Here is a 17432-nt window from a genome sequence, read left to right on the forward strand (position 1 = left end):
TTTTTTTGAGACGGAGTCTCACTCTGTCGCCCAGGCTGGAGTGTGATGGCGCGATCTCGGCTCACTGCAACCTCTGCCTCCCGGGTTCAAGCGATTCTCCTGACTCAGCCTGCCGAGTAGCTGTGATTACAGGTGCCCGCCACCACGCCCACCTAATTTTTGTATTTTTAGTAGAGACAGGGTTTCACCACGTTGGCCAGGCTGGTCTTGAACTCCTGACCCCAGGTACAAAAATTAGCTGGGCGTGGTGGCAGGAGCTGGTTATCCCAGCTACTTAGGAGGGTGAGGCAGGAGAATCACTTGAACCCGGGAGGTGGAGGTTGCAGTGAGCCAAGATCGTGCCACTGCATTCCAGCCTAGGGGACAGACGGAGACTCTGTCTCAAAAAAAAAAAAAAGAAAAAAAAAGTATTTCCAAGACGCATAAAACAGGTCCACTGTCATTTTTTCCAGTTATCCAGGAACTTCCATAAAGCGAACGTTTTGGGCTGAAGGTCACCCACCCCATGAACAGTCAGGTGGAACTAGTGCCCAGGGAAGGCAGGCAGCCTGCGCCATCATGGCCTTTGGCTCAGAGGCCACCTAAGCAGCCCCGCGCTGTGGGTCACCATCTCCTCCACACTCAAGTCTGAAGGTGAGCCTGTCAGGGGCTCCCAGCTCACTGGGTGGAGGGAAGCGTGTCAGGGAGGGGTGGGGGGGGCGTGCCCTGAAGAGCGAGGCCATGCGCCTACCTCCAGCTTTTCCCCTGACACACTGAGCGACTCCCGGCTGCACGCCGGCCACAGGGCTCCTGTAAGATGCTGGGAGGCTTCCCAAGGCACCCCGCCCAGATGTCTTCCCAGGAATCCCGGATCCCTGAGGAGGGAGATACCATCACTAAGAAATCTGTGACCAAACTGCTGATCACAGAAAAGGAGTGATTTTCCCATTAATTCTGAAACAGTCAGTCAAACGCGAGGGAGGGGACAAATTGAGCAAAAAGCCTCAAATGAGGCTAAATGAGTCACCACGCCCGGCCTTTTCAATTACATAGCTCCATTTTGTAAACTTCTGCTCAGCTTCAAGGAGGCCAGCCCAAGTGGACCACAGGACTAGCAGTCTTGACTCTTGCTGGGTCAAGATCCTTCCCACACATGACTGCTGCAGGGGAAGGTCAAAAACGTCCCAGGCCAGGCACAGCTCACGCCTGGATTTCCAGCACTTTGAAAGGCCAAGGGTGGGGGGATCTCTTGAGCCCAGGAGTCTGAGACCAGCCTGGGAAACACAGACCCCACTGTACAAAAAAAAATGAAATTAGCCAGGTGCAGTAGCGTATGCCTGTAGTCCCAGCTACTTGGGTGCAGTAGCGTATGCCTGTAGTCCCAGCTACTTGGGTGCAGTAGTGTATGCCTACAGTCCCAGCTACTTGGGAGGCTGAGGTGATCACTTGAGCCCAGGGGATTGAGTCTGCAGTGAGCTATGATTGCACCGTAGCACTCCAGCCTGGGTGGCAGATAAAGACCCTGTCACAAAACAAAACAACCCACAAGCCTCCCCTGCTCAGTGTGGCTACACCAAGAAGAATTCAAGTCGAGATTTCTTGGGTATTTTTTTTTTTTTTTTGAGAGAGGTCTGTCTCTCAGGCTGGAGTATAGTGGCATGACAGCTCACTGCAACCTCCACTTCAGCCTCCTGAGTAGCTGGGACCACAGGTGTGCATCACCACACTCAGCTAATTTTTGGTAGAGATGGGTTTCACTATGTTGCCCAGGCTGGTGTGGCATTCTTGAGCTCAAGCAATCCACCCGCCTCAGCCTCTCAAAGTGTTAGGATTACAGGCGTAAGCCACTGAGCCTGGCCCTTATTACCTTTATTTTTTATTTTATTTTATTTTTTTGAGAGGGAACCTAGCTCTGTCACCCAGGCTGGAGTGCAGTGGTGCAATCTCGGCTCACTGTAACCTCCACCTCCCGGGTTCAAGCGATTCTCCTGCCTCAGCCTCCCGAGTAGCTGGGACTACAGACACCTGCCACCACAGCTGGCTAATTTTTGTATTTTTAGTAGAGATGGGGTTTCACCATGTTGGCCAGGCTGGTCTTGAACTCCTGACCTTGTGATTCACCCGCTTCAGTCTCCCAAAGTGCTGGGATTACAGGTGTGAGCCACCCTGCCTGTCCCCTTTTTATTACTTTTTCGAGACAAGGTCTCACCCTGTTGCCCAGGCTGGAGTGCAGTGGTGCAACCACAGCTCACTGTAGTCTTGACCTCCTGGGCTCAAGTGATCCACCTCAGCCTCCCAAGTAATCCTCACTACAGGCGTGCGCCACTGCATCTGGCTAATTTGCTTTTTGTAGAGAGGCAGGGAGTCTCCCTATGCTGCCCAGACTGGCCTCAAAACTCCTGGGCTCAAGTGATCCCCCACCTTGGCCTCTCAAAGTGCTGGGATTACAGGCATGAGCTACCATGGCCAGACCTCATTTCTTTTTTGTTCAGTCTTCTTTGCCTCTGTAGCCAACGTGTGTGTAAATATGCCTAGTCTCACCCTAAAAGCAGCCTATTGAGCAAACAAGTATATTTCAGTTACTCAGCATATTAAAACCGTTTCTTCACAGGTGTTTCTGTCCTTCTTCTTGTTTAACACAGAAAACAGGAGAACCAAATAAGCCAAGCTCTTTATCTTCCCAAAGCCCTTGGTCTAGACCAGAGTTCCCAAAGCGTGGTCAGTGGTTTCTCTACATCAGAAACAGCGGGCGTGTCTGTGTCCTCAAAGGCAATGTCCGAGGATGTGGGGCGGGGTTTGCGATTCTGTATTGTTAACAGGCTCCCCAGGAGTTCCTGACAGCCAACTGCAGGCATCGCTCCCAGGAAGGCCTGTGAGCCCCACATGCTCCCCTAGGGGGATGTAAGCTGGGTGATCACGTCTGAAATAAGGACCCAAGATTCCTGACTCCCCGATGCGGTTTTTAAATTTTTAAGGCAGGCAAGGGGAAAAAAAGATACCAAGTGAAGAATTCATTGTGTATTTATTATTCACAGTTAATCACTACCTACCAAATGCTATCCGCAGAGTTAAAGGATTAAGTACATAGGTCTTTATTTAAACACTGATTTTTTTTTTAAATATATACACACAAAACTTAGTTCAGCAAGGCTTCATGATATACACCAATTCCAAAATAAAACAATCAAATGGTCCAGGTGTAGAATGCCAGATTCCTTTTATCATCTGCGAGGAAAAGAGAAGCAGGATGAGGAAGAGTGAGGGAAGGCGGGGACAGGCTCTGCCCAGAAGAGCTGCCGCCTCCTGGCACAGCAAACGCTCCAGGCCTGGGCCCTGTTCATATCTGGAGTCGGAGGGAGACTCCCATCGGCCGCTTTGGGACTGAAAGGCCCAAGGCTGTCACCAGCTCCCGGAAGAGAGGGAGGCAGTCTTGTTTTTGTCGTGGGAAGGGGTTTGGGTGGAGAAAAAGATTACAGGCACATCACCACAGGGGACCAGAAGTGGAGAGAAGACAGAGAGTTCTGCCGAGGCCTTGGTCTTCCTGTCTTTCCAATCTTGCCTTCCCCAACTCTCCCTGCTTCCTGGGACCATCGGTAGGGGTGGGGAGCAGCAGTCAACACAGCCCACTGGGAAGGGAGGCACAAGCAGCACTCCAGCTTCCCAGTGCTGCCCTCACACTCACCTGGACAGGTCAGGGGACACAGGATGAAAGCCATGGCCCAATCTAAGAGCAAGACAAGTGAAAAGTGAGTACTCTCACTGTGTACCCCAGCATAGGAATAGTGAAACCTGCTACAACTGGAGGCTGCGTTCCCATGACTTCCTCCTCCGCTCTCCTTGTCTGGGACTTGCTGGTTCCAGGGGTGCATATAGGGAGGGGGCGGGGGCCACAACCCCCGAGACGGTGAGGACAGGCTTCCGACCCCCCTGTAAGCCAGATCCAGTGGGATGTGGGAGAGCTGGGCGGTCACCTTCCCTCTTGCCCCGGTGGCCCATCACACTCACACTGCACCCTGGGCAAGCAGTTCCCTGAACCCCCAAGGGGCTCACAACCCTTAAAGCTGGAGCTTAAAGCCTCCTGGCTTAGTACAAGCAGGAGAACGCCTCACCTTCCACTCCTGCTTTGTCTCCTTTGCTCTACCCTGGCTCCCCTGCCCGGAGGGAAAAATATTTACACAGAGTAGGAGACAAATTGGCTGAAAAGCTCTGGACTGCCTTTAACTTATTTTAAAACAAAACAAATTAAAAAAAAAAAAAAAACACCACTCAGAAGCAACCCTTGAAATAAGGAAAAAGGCACTATGAAAAAACAACATGCTCGATAATCCCACTGGAAGGGCCAACAAAGTGGAAAGAGACAGGCTTTCAGGTGGGCTTTTTTTTTTTTTTTTTGAGACGGAATCTCGCTCTGTCACCCAGGCTGGAGTACAATGGCACGGTCCCGGCTCACTCAACCTCCACTTCCCAGGTTCAAGCGATTCTCCTGCCTCAGGCTCCCAAGTAGCTGGGACTACAGGTGCGTGCCACACCCGGCTAATTTCTTATTTTTAGTAGAGACGGGGTTTCACCATGTTGGCTAGGTTGGTCTCGAACTCCTGACCTTGTGATCCGCCCACCTTGGCCTCCCAAAGTGCTGGGATTACAGGCGTGAGCCACCGCGCCCAGCCCAGGTGGGCTTTCTCAGGAAGCCATGGAAGCAGAGACATGCTTTCCTTCTACCCTACTCTACTGTGAACTTGGACAAAATACACTGGGGGTCTGGGCTGGAAGGCAGATTCCTACAAGTCCCCTCCTCTGGAGGAAGCTAAACAGCAAAGGCATCGAGCGGCCCTGCCCGCTCCTTTTTGTGTGTATATACGAAGAACACAGGAACAGCTGTTCTTCTTTCAGTCATTCCAACTAAAACAGACATTTTGCATAGAGAGAATACCAGCCCACTTGGTTTCTTGTTTTTTATTATTGGCGTCAGCTAGGACTATACGTGGCCTTAAACGTCATGCACTGATGGACAGAAGAGAAAAAAGGATGAAAAAAAAGACAAAGGAGGGGAAAGAGGAGCAGCAGTGAAAATTTGTAATAAAAACTCTTCTTAATTTATAGGTAAGTTTTGGCATTTTTAAATCCAACGCCCCCTCCCACCCCCTAAAGTTCCAACCAAAGTGAGAGGGTCACAGGGTGACCCGGCCAGGTGTTCTGCACTCCCTCACAGGCTGCTGTCAGAGGCAGCTTGTGGGTTTAATTCTTTTGTATGTGTTTTACATTTTTCACTTTCTTTAAATAATTGCTTCTTGACTCTTAGACGTTCCGGTTCACGGGGGTGACATAATTGCGGGGAAACATGCCGGTCTGCCCGTGGCAAGCTCCTTTCCACCAGTTGGGGTCTGAGTTATCCATGACATGGATAAAATCTCCCCGGCGGAAGCCCAGCTCTCCATCCTCCTGGGGATCAAAGTCAAAGAGGGCCTGGACGTATGTCGGCTGCTGCAAAACAGGAGCAGGAAAAACCCACATTGCATTCCTGGTCTGTGACTGGCCACCTCCGAGGCCAGATGGGTTCCAGGGGGAAACGAATGCGTGCCAAATTCTCCATGTTTCTTAAACTCACCTCCCATCTCCCAACCCCCCGTTTATTCTTACCTATTCTAAGTTTACAGGCCAAGCGGGTTTAGTGTGATATTTCCCAGTGCTCAGAAAATATTAGAGTATGTCTCCCAGAGGAGGGTGGCCAACTGTGCCGTATTATCAAGTAGAGGGCAGGCAGTGCTTGGAGGAGAAAGTTCTTCAGAAACAGCCATCTGTGTTTAGGCCGTGGGCCCAGAATCGCAAATCCCTTCTACGACACCCTTAAGGTATTAAAGCCTAAAGTTCTGGAGCTCGAATAACATAAGGGGCTCTAACCGTAACTTACGACCAGGGCTCGAGGGACAGGAACGGGTGCCGACCCCATTCCCTCACAAGCATAGTTTTCCTCATAATTTGCTTCCAGGGACAGGATCTTTGGGTGGGTGTGTTAAAGACCATCTCCCTAGAGAGGCTGGCAAGCTGGCTACACACTGCCTCTGGAAAAGCAAAAACCTTGTATTTGAAACAACAAATCTTTTTTTTTTTTTTTTTTTTTTTTTGAAATGAAGTCTCCCTCTGTCGCCCAGGTTGGAGTGCAGTGGTGCAATCTCAGCTCACTACAATCTCCACCTCCTGGGTTCAAGCAATTTTTCCATCTCAGCTTCCCGAGTAGCTGGGACTGCAGGTGTGCGCCACCACATCCAGCTAATTTTTGTATTTTTAGTAGCGACAGGGTTTCACCATGTTGGCCAGGCTAGTCTCAAACACCTGACCTCAAGAGATCTGCCTGCCTCGGCCTCCCAAAGTGCTGGGATTATAGGTGTGAGCTACTATGCTGGGCCAGAAAAAAGAACTCTTTAGTGTGAATGGAGGGTAACATTTTCAGTAAGGAGCACAGAAGCCCCAGCGGCAATCCCTGAAGGGCGCCCGCATGTTGAGGGGCGCCTCCCCTTTCCTACAGGAATGCACACTGAGGAGCTATTCTTAACTAAAAATGATCCCATCTCACCCTGATGAGGCTTACCTGTGGCACCTGTTCTATGTCCCGCAGGAATATCTGCTGGTTTCTGGAGACAGATGTAGATCTGTGATAATCCACCAGCTCATTCAAAGAATTGAACTTCACCACCCAGAGGAAGTACTTCCCGGCTCCATCTCGGAGCACCTTGAAGTGCTGCACATCGTTTCCAAACCTGGGAGGGACAGAAAGCACATGTGACCGGCTAAAGGCTCTAACTTGGCAAATCGAGGGTATTTCCATATAGGAGCTATCTCGAGAGAACCACTGTCCCAGCAGCACTCCTCAGGGACTGCAGAGCAACAAGTTTCCTCACTGGGTGTCCCTGGGACGGACCTCTCCCTATGAATGATGGGCACCAGGACAACATCCAGAAACCAGAGAGGGACAGGCCATCAGTCATTCTCATTCTGAAGATGTTTGTAAGATAAAGAGTCCAGGCCGGGTGCGGTGGCTCACACCTGTAATCCCAACACTTTGGAGGCCGTGGTGGGCAGATCACCTGAGGTCGGGAGTTCGAGACCAGCCTGGCCAACATGGAGAAATCCCATCTCTACTAAAAATACAAAAGTAGCTGGGCATGATGGTGCATGCCTGTAATCCCAGCTACTCGGGAGGCTGAGGCAGGAGAATCACTTGAACCTGGGAGGCCGAGGTTGTGGTGAGCTGAGATCGCGCCATTGCACTCCAACCTGGGTAACAAGAGTGAAACTCTGTCTCAAAAAAAAAAAAAAAAAGAGTCCATGTGCCCTGAACCCTACCAAATAAAAACAGCCGTACTTAAGACAAAGGAGTGTGACTTAACATCCTTTGAATAAAAAAATAATTAAAATCTTATATGCAGGAAGAAGGTGAGGAGGGCTGGAAATACTTTCAACAATTCTCTCGTAACTGGGAATAGTTCAAAGTAATGTTTTCCATTCAGGAATTTTAGCTCCACTCATGGGGAAAAGGTCTCTGAACAAAAGGACGTACTGGGACAATAAAAGAGGCCCAGACTTCAAAACCCAAAAGCTTCTCCATCACTAGATCACACCCTTTTATACTGGCAAGCAAAACCGGCAACAGCGTGGCTGGCTGGTACTAGCTCACAGGGTCTGTCACAGGATATTTGGCTAAAACACCAGCCTAGCGAGGGCGCTTCTGCCTGTCCTGTTCACCTGGCCGGGCACTCTCGGCATTCTCGGCCGGATGCGGTGGCTCATGCCTGTAATCCCAGCACTTTGGGAGGCCGAGGTGGGCGGATCATAAGGTCAGGATATCGAGACCACCATGGCTAACACAGTGAAACCCCGTCTCTACTAAAAATACAAAAAATTAGCCAGGTGTGGTGGCAGATGCCTGTAGTCACAGCTACTCGGGAGGCTGAGGCAGGAGAATGGTGTGAACCCGGGAGGAGGAGCTTGCAGTGAGCCGAGATTGGGCCACTGTACTCCAGCCTGTGCGACAGAGTGACACTCCATCTCATTAAAAAAAAAAAAAAAAAAAAAGGCATTCTCTGAGAGTGCTTGTTCAATGAATGAATGAGTCCCTCCTCTCCTTCAGTCTTTCAGCTGATGGAAACCAAAGGCTTCAGAAAATCAATCCGGCAGGTGGCAGCACTGAGCCTCAAGGAAGCCACTCAGCACAAGATGCCTCGCATTTGGAAAAAATACTGCTTTACATGTTAAGACAAAATGTGGAAGGTGAGAAAGCTTCATTAGCAAGGGTATATTCCACGGCACTTCTGGCCCCACAGAGGCCCACTTCCACCCATGCAATGCAGGTGGTTTCTAAGAGCCCAGGGCCCCAATAATGAGCAGTGTTTCAAATCACAGGCTCAAAACATCCTAAAACTAAGAAACATCTGACAACTGTTGATTCTTGAACCTTTTTTGCAGAGGTGTGTGTGTTGTTAAAGAGAGTCATGACACCTGCTTTGCTTCTAAAACAATAAATGCATTAAATCCTTAAAAGATTCTACTTGAGAAAATGGAAGTTTGAGAGTTTCTGCTGAGCAAACAGGCAGCGTCCAGCCGAGCACGTGGCTGCCCCCGTGGTTTTGGCCACCACCCAGTGATTTACTGCTTGTTCCCCTCATCTTATAAGGTTTCAGTTACACTTGGGTCAGTATAAAACTAAAGAAAGACAGGTGTCACACATGTTTTTCTTTTCTTTTTTTTTTTTTTTTAAAGATGGATGGAGTCTTGCTCTTTCACCCAGGCTGGAATGCAATGGCTCAGTCTCGGCTCACTGCAACCTCTGCCTCCTAGGTTCAAGTGATTCTCCTGCTTCAGCCTCCGGAGTAGCTGGGAATACAGGCATGTGCCACCACGCCTGGCTAATTTTTGTATTTTTTTAGTAGGGACAGTGTTTCACCATATTGGTCAGGCTGGTCTCAAACTCCTGACCTCATGATCGGCCCGCCTCAGCCTCCTAAAGGGCTGGGATTACAGGCATGAGCCACCATGCCGGGCCACAACTATAAATTTAAAATCTACGTTTCAAAAAAAAAATCTACATTTTAATCACACATTAAGTGGTTCTAAAACCAAATAAGATATTCAGTTTGTTTGTTTGTTTTGGGAGACACAGTCTTACTCTGTCACTCAGGCTGGAGTGTAGTGGCACGATCTTGGCTCATCTGCCTCTCGGGTTCAAGTGATTCTTCTCTCTCAGCCTCCTGAGTAGCTGGGATTACAGGCACACGCCACCACGCCGAGGCCATTTTTGTATTTTTTTTTTTTTTTTTTTTTTTAGTAGAGACAGGGTTTTACCATGTTCGCCAGGCTGGTCTCGAACTTCTGACCTCAGGTGATCTGCCTGCCTCGGCCTCCCAAAGTGCTGGGATTACAGGTGTGAGCCACCGCACCCAGTTTTTTTTTTTTTTTTTTTTTTTTTTTTGGAGACAGAGTTTTGCTCTTCGCCCAGGCTAAAGTGCAATGGCGCCATCTCGCCTCACTACAACCTCCGCCTCCTGGATTCAAATGATTCTCTGGCCTCAGCCTCCCAAGTAGCTGGGACTACAGGTGTGTGCCACTATGCCTGGGTTATTTTCTATTTTTAGCAGAAACAGGGTTTCACCATGTTGGCCAGGCTGGTCAGTTCATTTTTGAAATGGAAAAGTCTCACGCTTTACATCAGTTATAAATGGGAAATGGTGGCTGGAAGCAGTGGCTCCAGCCTGTAATCCCAGCACTTTGGGAGGTCGAGGTGGGTGGATCACCTGAGGTCAGGAGTTCAAGACCAGCCTGGCCAATATGGCAAAACCCCATCTCTACTAAAAATACAAAAATAAGCCGGGCGTGGTGTCAGGCACCTGTAATCCCAGGTACTCGGAGGGTGGGGCAGGGAGAACTGCTTGAACCTGGGAGGTGGAGGTTGCAGTGAGCTGAGGCATGCCATTGGACTCCAGCCTGGGGGACAGAGCGAGACTCTGTCTCAAAAATAAGTAAATAAAATAAAAGGAAAATGGTTTTCTATCCCCCATTCAAAAACAAAACAATCTTAATGTAATCTAAACTAAGTAGTGATCTGAGTGTTGAATCTAATTACTTCTTTATATATAACTGATGAAGTGATCTGCCGGACTCCTGGGGAGGGTCCTATGATAATACATTAACTAGAAAATAACTGAAAGTAAAAAACATGGAAATAACAATTTAATTCAAAATCCCGACTTCACAGCTGAGGTGTGAATTGTTTAGAATCTTCAAGTGCTGGTTTCTATTCTCCACACTCTCCATGGCGGCAGAACTTCCTGTCTTCTCCATTCCCTGCTTACCCGCTCCCTTTCACACCTGAACTTTCCACCGGGGAAATGCAAGCCCCACATCCCCTGCAGCAGCCTTCTTAAGTGACTGTGAGGGCCTAGGATGGGGCTGGTTGATTTAAGTCAGTGGACCTGAGCAAGGCAAGCCAAGGCAGCCGACAGGCGCTCCACTATCCCATTAGAGAGAGCTGCGGGAATCCCTTGGAGGGCAGAAGCTCAGGAGTGCTGGGCACTAGGGAAAACTGGCAGGCTCCAGCTGGCTGCAGGGAGCTGCTGCTCACCTCCTGAAGGCTGTGTCCACATGGGAATCTACATCCAGTGCTTCTAGAACTCATTTTGAGAGGAGCCAGAAATTAGGATTTTAATGTGAAATGAAGAAACTGTTTAGGCTAAGCCTCCACCATTTTGTGTGTAGCCAGGCACCTGACCAACGGCTTCACAATTTGGATCAGTCAGAGACAGGATTCCAGGCAACTGCAGCAGGAAATACTTACTTGACAGAGAGGGAGAAGTCCCCAGGAGCGCTCTCACTCTCTCGGATAAGAAAGGCCCCATCGTGCCGCTGTTTGCTAAGCATTTCTTCTGCCTTGGCTCTGGGGATTTTGCCAAAAAACCACCTAAGGAAGGAAGGCAAGCTGGTCAACATCTGCTTCCCCACAAAGAAACGGGATATCCAGCCTTCAAAATGTGAGTAACACAACACTCCTTGCCAGAGGAAGGGGCCTCCCTCCTCATCCTCCAGCCTCACAGTGCCCAAGATCGACACTGGGTTGGGTCCCCAGAGATGGACCTTCAAAGGTCTTTAGCCTACTCCATTTCCCAGAAAGCGACTCACCAAGGCACTAACCGTGGGTCACTCTTTCTATAGAGGGAGACATTTGAAAATGGGCCCCCCAGGCCAAAGCCCACTGGACTCCCTACTGACTCATGACAAAGGCGCCTGGGGAAAAGCTCAGGCCTTTGGGCTTGGTGTACGGGATGAACTGCCAAGGAGAGACTGGCCCCTTCCTGCAGCCATGTGATAAGATCACAGCTTCACCACAGTGGGACTAAGGGAAAGTGGGGAGGAAACCTGGACGGCCAGGAGCTGGAGGCAGGGTTACTTTTGCTAACAGCCCAAAGGCAAAAGGTTCAGATAGTATGAGGGTGCCTCTACCAGTAACTAAGGTCAGCATTCCTCTCAAGGCCTGCCTCTGGGGCCACTGCTCAGAGTTCAGCTTTCAGAAGCCACCAGGAATATTGTAATTTACCATATGCTCAGCAGCTAGCTGCAAAATTCAGATTTTTGAGGCAAGTTGCAGACTCTTCTGCTCCCAATTGCTGATTCACCTTGGCCAGAAGAAAAAGTGGCTAAATTCATGAAAAACTGTGAAGCAACTGGCTGTGGCTTATCAAGAGGAAGAGGAGAGGAACACTTCTACAAGAGCTTCAAGTCAAGCTGCCTCACTATTTCAAATGAAAACTATAATTAGGAAGAAGAAACTGTGAAAACCATGTTCTCTTCTCAAAATTGTCTTTAGTTATCATTTTTAAAAGCAAAAGTTATAGCAAATAAAGACCTATAAACATGGAAACTGGCATTCATTTAATATGCTAATTATAATATCAAAAGTCCTTTTAATGGACCAAATAGTCCATTAAAGTTGTAAATCTAACTTACATATCTTTTCTTTTTTTTTTTTTTTGAGGAGTCTAGCTCTGTCACCCAGGCTGGAGTGCAGTGGCACGATCTCGCTCACTGCAAGCTCTGCCTCCCGGGTTCACGCCATTCTCCTGCCTCAGCCTCCCAAGTAGCTGAGCAGCTGGGACTATACATAGGCGCCCGCCACCATGCCCGGCTAATATTTTGTATTTTTAGTAAAGATGGGGTTTCACCGTGTTAGCCAGGATGGTCTCGATCTCCTGACCTTGTTGATCCGCCTGCCTTGGCCTCCCAAAGTGCTGGGATTACAGGCATGAGCCACTACGCCCGGCCCTTTTTTTTTTAGATAGAGTCTCACTCTGTCATCAAGGCTGGAGTGCAGTGGCACGATCTCGGCTCACTGCAACCTTCGCCTCCTGGGTTCAAGCAATTCTCCTGCCTCAGCTTCCCTAGTAGCTGGGATTACAGGCGGCCACCACCACGCCCAGCTAATTTTTGTATTTTTAATAGAGACGGGGTTTCACCATATTGGCCAGGCTGGTCTTGAACTCCCGACCTCGAGATCTGCCCGCCTCAGCCTCCCAAAGTGCTGGGATTAAAGTCGCGAGCCACCACGCCCGGCTAATTTACATATCTTACTTATAAGCAACCATATTGGAAGATGTACCTAAAATAATATACTATACTCAAATTCAAACAGAAAGATGTGATCTGCTAGGAAGGATACACTTAGAAGCTGCCCTTAGTAACTTTGTCCTTGTGTGTGTGTGTCAGCCTCTAGGGACTCTTAGTAACTCTGAATAGTCTGACATCTACCTGCTTGGAGTCTTTCTCATTTTGCATACTCTACTGCCAGGATGCTGAGGAGCTGGGACAATAGATCCTCCTGCTTCTACAAATAACTCAAGGCTAGGGCCTGCAGTGCCTGGAAATCAGGCCACACAAGAGAAATCACATATCACTAGAATAGAATGCTCTCTAAATATAAAAGGACAGGCTGGGCCCGGTACCTCATGCCTGTAATTGCAGCACTTTGGGAGGCTGAGGTGGGGTGAATCACTTGAGGTCAGGAGTTTGAGACCAGCCTGGCCAACGTGGTGAAACCCACTCTCTACCAAAAATACAAAAATTAGATGGGCACAGTGGTGGGCACCTGTAATCCCAGCTACTCGGGAGGCTGAGGCAGGAGAATCACTTGAACCTGGGAGGCAGAGGTTGTAGTGAGCCGAGACTGTGCCACCGCACTCCAGCCTGGGCGAAAGAGTGAGACTCTGTCTCAAAAAAATATATAAATAAATAAAATAAAAAAGGAGGCTGGGTGCGGTGGCTCAATGCCTGTAATCGCAGCACTTTGGGAGGCCGAGGTGGGCGGATCATCTGAGGTCAGGAGTTCGAGACCAGCCTGGCCAACATGGAGAAACTCCATCTCTACTAAAAATACAAAATTAGCAAGGCGCGGTGGCGCATGCCTGTAATCCCAGCTACTCGGGAGGCTGAGGCAGGAGAATCGCTTGAATCTCCGGGAGGCAGAGGTTGCGGTGAGCCGAGATCGTGCCATTGCACTCCAGCCTGGGCAACAAGAGTGAAACTCCATCTCAAAAAAATTAAATAGGCCGGGTGTGGTGGCTCACGCCTGTAATCCCAGCACTTTGGGAGGCCGAGGCGGGCGGGTCACAAAGTCAGGAGATCGAGACCAACCTGGCTAACACGGTGAAACCCTGTCTTTACTAAAAATACAAAAAATTAGCCAGGCGTGGTGGCAGGTGCCTGTAGTCCCAGTTACTCAGGAGGCTGAGGCAGGAGAATGGAGTGAACCTGGGAGGCGGAGCTTGCAGTGAGCCGAGATCGCGCCACTGCACTCTAGCCTGGGCGACAAAGCGAGACTCGCTTTCAAAAAATAAATAAATAAATAAATAAATAAATAAATAAGGACACTTAACGGTATTGAGACCTTCTCAATCGGGGGGCCCCAATCAACGGTATTTAAACCTTCTCATATCGGGGGGCCCTGGGTTTCTAATATAAGTGTATGCAGCATGCATCTGACTGGGTACAGCAGTGAAAATCCACACATGGCCTCGGCTGGCTCTCCCCACACTGCCCCACACTCCCCACCACTGCCACTTCCAATAGCAATGGTGAGGGTGAAGATTCTCAATCAGCAAGGCTCTCTTTCCTCCTAGGCCCCCAAGATCTCTCCACTAGGGAGGTTTTTTCCCATTTGTAGGTATAAAATAATGAATATAAACTGAAATAGCCTAGATGTACATGAAGCAAACATAAAAAGTAAGATGCTTCCCTCAAACTCCCCAGAGGCAGCACGTGTTGGCGGTTCTAACACTTAGGTTTCCAGACCTTTCTGTCTGGTGTCACATAGACATGGCTGCTGTGTTTTCTTGCCCCCAGCTTAAAATTAACGCAATTTTATTTTCAATTAAAAAAAATAAATTGTAGTGAAGTACAAATTATAATGTTTAAAAAGTACTCTAACTGGAATTAAAACCAAAAACCAAAAAAACCACAACTCTGTTATAAGCACCCAGATCAAGAAATAAAAAATCTGGCACCAGGTGCAGTTGCTCACGCCTGTTAATTCCAGCACTTTGGGAGGCTAAGGTGGGAGGATTGCTTAAGCCCAGTAGATCAAGACCAGCCCGGGCAACACAGTGAGACCCTGTCTCTACGAAAAATAAAAAATTAGCCAGGCATAGTGGTGCACAGCTGTAGACGCAGCAACTTAGGAGACTAAGGTGGGAGGATAACTTGAGCCCAACCTGGATGACAGAGCAAGACCCTGTGAATAGCTGTCACTACTAAAACACTGAAATACCACCATTCTACATTTCTATAGCATTTTATATCATTTATAAATTTGACTTTTTAAAATGATGATATGTACATGTGACTACATGCTTACGGGTGAATTTTTTTTATTTTTTATTTTTTGAGACAGAGTCTTGCTTTGTTGAATAGGCTGGAGTGCAGTGGCGTGATCTTGGCTTGCTGCAAGCTCTAACAGGCAAATGTTTTGAAAGTCTTTAAAAAGATGGGCTTTGGGCCGGGTGTGGTGGCTCACACCTGTAATCCCAGCACTTTGGGAGGCCGAGGCGGGCGGATCAGGAGGTCAGGAGATTGAGACCATCCTGACCAACACAGTGAAACCCCATCTCTACTAAAAATACAAAAATTAGCCAGGCATGGTGGCACATGCCTGTAATCCCAGCTACTCAGGAGGTGGAGGCAGGAGAATCCCTTGAACCAGGGAGTTGGGGGTTGCAGTGAGCCGAGATCGCGCCACAGCACTCTAGCCTGGCGACAGAGCGAGACTCCATCTCAAACAAACAAACAAACAAACAAACAAAAGATGGGCTTTGGCAGGGTGCGGTGGCTTACACCTGTAATCCCAGCACTTTAGGCCAAGAGCTCGAGATCAGCTTGGCCAACACAGTGAAACCCCATCTCTACTAAAAATACAACAATTCGACGGGAGTGGAGGCACGCGCCTGTAGTCCCAGCTACTCGGCAGGCTGAGGCACAAGAATCGCTTGAACCCAGCAGGCGGAGGTTGCAGTGAGCTGAGATAGCACCACTGCACTCCAGCCTGGGCAACAGAGCAGGATTCCGTCTCATAAAAACAACAAGAACAACAACAAACAAAAAACAAAAAAAAAAAAGGTGGGCTTATACAACAGAAATAGCAAGGGCGAGAGCTAAGGGGGTGAGGGGAGAAGGCTAATTTTCCAATATAATTCTTTACTACATCCCGTAGGCTCCCATCCATATGCATTTAGTGTGAAAAGCACATATTTGGATCCACCCCTCAAGCATATACAACTCATGCTGCAGCACTAATGCCAACAATCATTTTGTAGTCTAATTTGTTAACTTGAATGCTGCATTAGCTGACATGGTGCTACATTTTATGCTTCCCTCTTCCTCCATAACCCCTGCTCCCCACCCCCACAAACAAACAAACAAACAAACAAAAAAACAGGAGGTGGTAGGATGTGGAGGAGAAGGCCTGGTACTGACCCTGACCCTATACTCATGAACATCCAGCCACAGAGCAGCCCTATACAACAGCAACTACGTCTGCAAGGCCAAACACCTACATAGGCACAAGCATGGTCTTTGTTAGCAATATGGTAGACCTGAATAAATAAGGGTTTTTAAGTTGCTAGTTGCCTTTTCAGAGCTCAGAGTGGCTGAGCACTGCCCACCCTTTGGGCAGAGTCTGCAAATAACAACACAGCTGAGCCTGTGCTGGGTGCTTCTCCATCAATTCTTCTAAAGTTCTTCATAGTGGGGACAAAAGGTCAAGGCAAGGGAGTGACTGTCCCAGTCAGCCTGGCAGTAACTACAACTTTCCAAGGAAGGTAGCCTTTCCTATCTTTCCTCAACAGTCAGATTTAAATGCCTGTGTCACCCGAAACACTGAAGAAAAATAAGAATTTCGAGCCACAGGCATGTCATATAAGAAGTGTAGTATGATGTTCTGTTGAATTCCCTTTCAATCTGAAAATATGAAAACAAAAGGGAACTGAAGTCGATGTTGTGTTTGGATCTAATGAAGGAGCCAGCAAACAATAATGGCCTTCTGCCCAAATCTGCCCACAACCTAAGACTGTTTTTTAAATTTCTACTCGATTGTTAAAAGAAAATTTTTACAAGGAATATTTGACAGGATTGTATGCAGCCCACAAAGTCGAAATTACTTGCTATCTGGCTCTTCACAGAAAAAGTTTAGCCAACCCTTGACCTACAGTTTCTTTTGAGGACGACTGAAGGAAACAGAAGTACACAAATTATGTGGCTTATATGGGACCTGGGGAGGATGTGCTGTGATCCAACAGGCCCCTCCCACTCAAGATGCGACAAGCCACCTGAAAGTCTCCGCCACCAGCTGCTGTGAAAGCAAGTGGACAATGTCCAAGGGCATTCTAGTCTGAGCGTGGAAAGCCTCAGCTCCCCTGACACACTTGTAAGGCAAGCCAGCAACTGCTTCTGTGCTAGGAGCAGGGCCTGTGAATGAGGGGTGGGTGAGAACGGGAGGACAGTGGTCTGCAGGGGCTCTCAGGGGTCCACTATGTTGCGTTATTAATAAAATCGTGACAAGGGTAGCTTCTGAAAAAAAATTAAAAATATTCACTGCTCCCAGCAGCCTGGAGGACAGCATATTTTGTTCTCTTGTAAGTAGGAACACTAAGATGGAGGGATAAACATTTATTGAGAACTATTAGATGCCAAGCACCGTACTCTGGGGATACAAAGATATTAAGATACCGTCCCACAGCATTAGCACATATAAACACAAAATCATCTAAGTACCTTTTCTAAAACTCAAAAAAAATGCAGAATTATAAAACACATCTGGCTCTAAGACATATTTAACAGAAAAAGAATTACGGACCTGCACCAACTATCGTTTTATTTTTGAAGATCACTGACAGTTATTATCAATCTAAAACATATAATATTAT

General features: G+C 48.2%; 1 protein-coding gene across 2 annotated transcripts in view, besides 7 other annotated features; it reads right to left on the bottom strand.

Annotated features, from left to right (window-relative positions):
- Positions 902 to 1051: an enhancer, noted in NCBI's record as "active region_12752". NCBI's record gives its function as "activates an Ori minimal core promoter by ATAC-STARR-seq in GM12878 lymphoblastoid cells {active_cell/tissue: GM12878}" and the evidence as "EXISTENCE:reporter gene assay evidence [ECO:0000049][PMID:35858748]".
- Positions 1402 to 1651: an enhancer, noted in NCBI's record as "active region_12753". NCBI's record gives its function as "activates an Ori minimal core promoter by ATAC-STARR-seq in GM12878 lymphoblastoid cells {active_cell/tissue: GM12878}" and the evidence as "EXISTENCE:reporter gene assay evidence [ECO:0000049][PMID:35858748]".
- GRB2 (growth factor receptor bound protein 2) overlaps positions 2983 to 17432 on the bottom strand; it is an 87603-nt gene continuing 73153 nt past the window's right edge. The window contains exons 4-6 of one of the 2 annotated variants that reach the window (NM_002086.5): positions 10805 to 10927; positions 6566 to 6734; positions 2983 to 5460 (exon numbers count right to left, since the gene is read on the bottom strand). In NM_002086.5, the coding sequence (NP_002077.1) occupies positions 5275 to 5460; positions 6566 to 6734; positions 10805 to 10927 (478 nt within the window). In that variant the 3' untranslated portion in view covers positions 2983 to 5274. The remainder of the gene's footprint in view (positions 5461 to 6565; positions 6735 to 10804; positions 10928 to 17432) is intronic. The other variant, NM_203506.3, reaches the window with a different exon arrangement.
- Positions 4660 to 4799: an enhancer, noted in NCBI's record as "active region_12754". NCBI's record gives its function as "activates an Ori minimal core promoter by ATAC-STARR-seq in GM12878 lymphoblastoid cells {active_cell/tissue: GM12878}" and the evidence as "EXISTENCE:reporter gene assay evidence [ECO:0000049][PMID:35858748]".
- Positions 4660 to 5909: a biological region, named in NCBI's record as "P300/CBP strongly-dependent group 1 enhancer GRCh37_chr17:73315884-73317083".
- Positions 4710 to 5909: an enhancer, noted in NCBI's record as "P300/CBP strongly-dependent group 1 enhancer chr17:73315884-73317083 (GRCh37/hg19 assembly coordinates)". NCBI's record gives its function as "activates an origin of replication core promoter dependent on BRD2, BRD4, P300/CBP, MED14 and CDK7 cofactors, with strong dependence on P300/CBP, by STARR-seq in HCT116 cells {active_cell/tissue: HCT116}" and the evidence as "EXISTENCE:reporter gene assay evidence [ECO:0000049][PMID:35650434]".
- Positions 8165 to 8354: an enhancer, noted in NCBI's record as "active region_12755". NCBI's record gives its function as "activates an Ori minimal core promoter by ATAC-STARR-seq in GM12878 lymphoblastoid cells {active_cell/tissue: GM12878}" and the evidence as "EXISTENCE:reporter gene assay evidence [ECO:0000049][PMID:35858748]".
- Positions 11786 to 12286: an enhancer, noted in NCBI's record as "H3K4me1 hESC enhancer chr17:73322960-73323460 (GRCh37/hg19 assembly coordinates)". NCBI's record gives its function as "activates a minimal SCP1, AML or CMV promoter by ChIP-STARR-seq in naive H9 embryonic stem cells {active_cell/tissue: H9 hESC(naive)}" and the evidence as "EXISTENCE:reporter gene assay evidence [ECO:0000049][PMID:30033119]".

The sequence above is a fragment of the Homo sapiens genome, chromosome 17 (genome assembly GCF_000001405.40).
Source record: "Homo sapiens chromosome 17, GRCh38.p14 Primary Assembly".
Taxonomy (NCBI): Eukaryota; Metazoa; Chordata; class Mammalia; order Primates; family Hominidae; genus Homo; species Homo sapiens.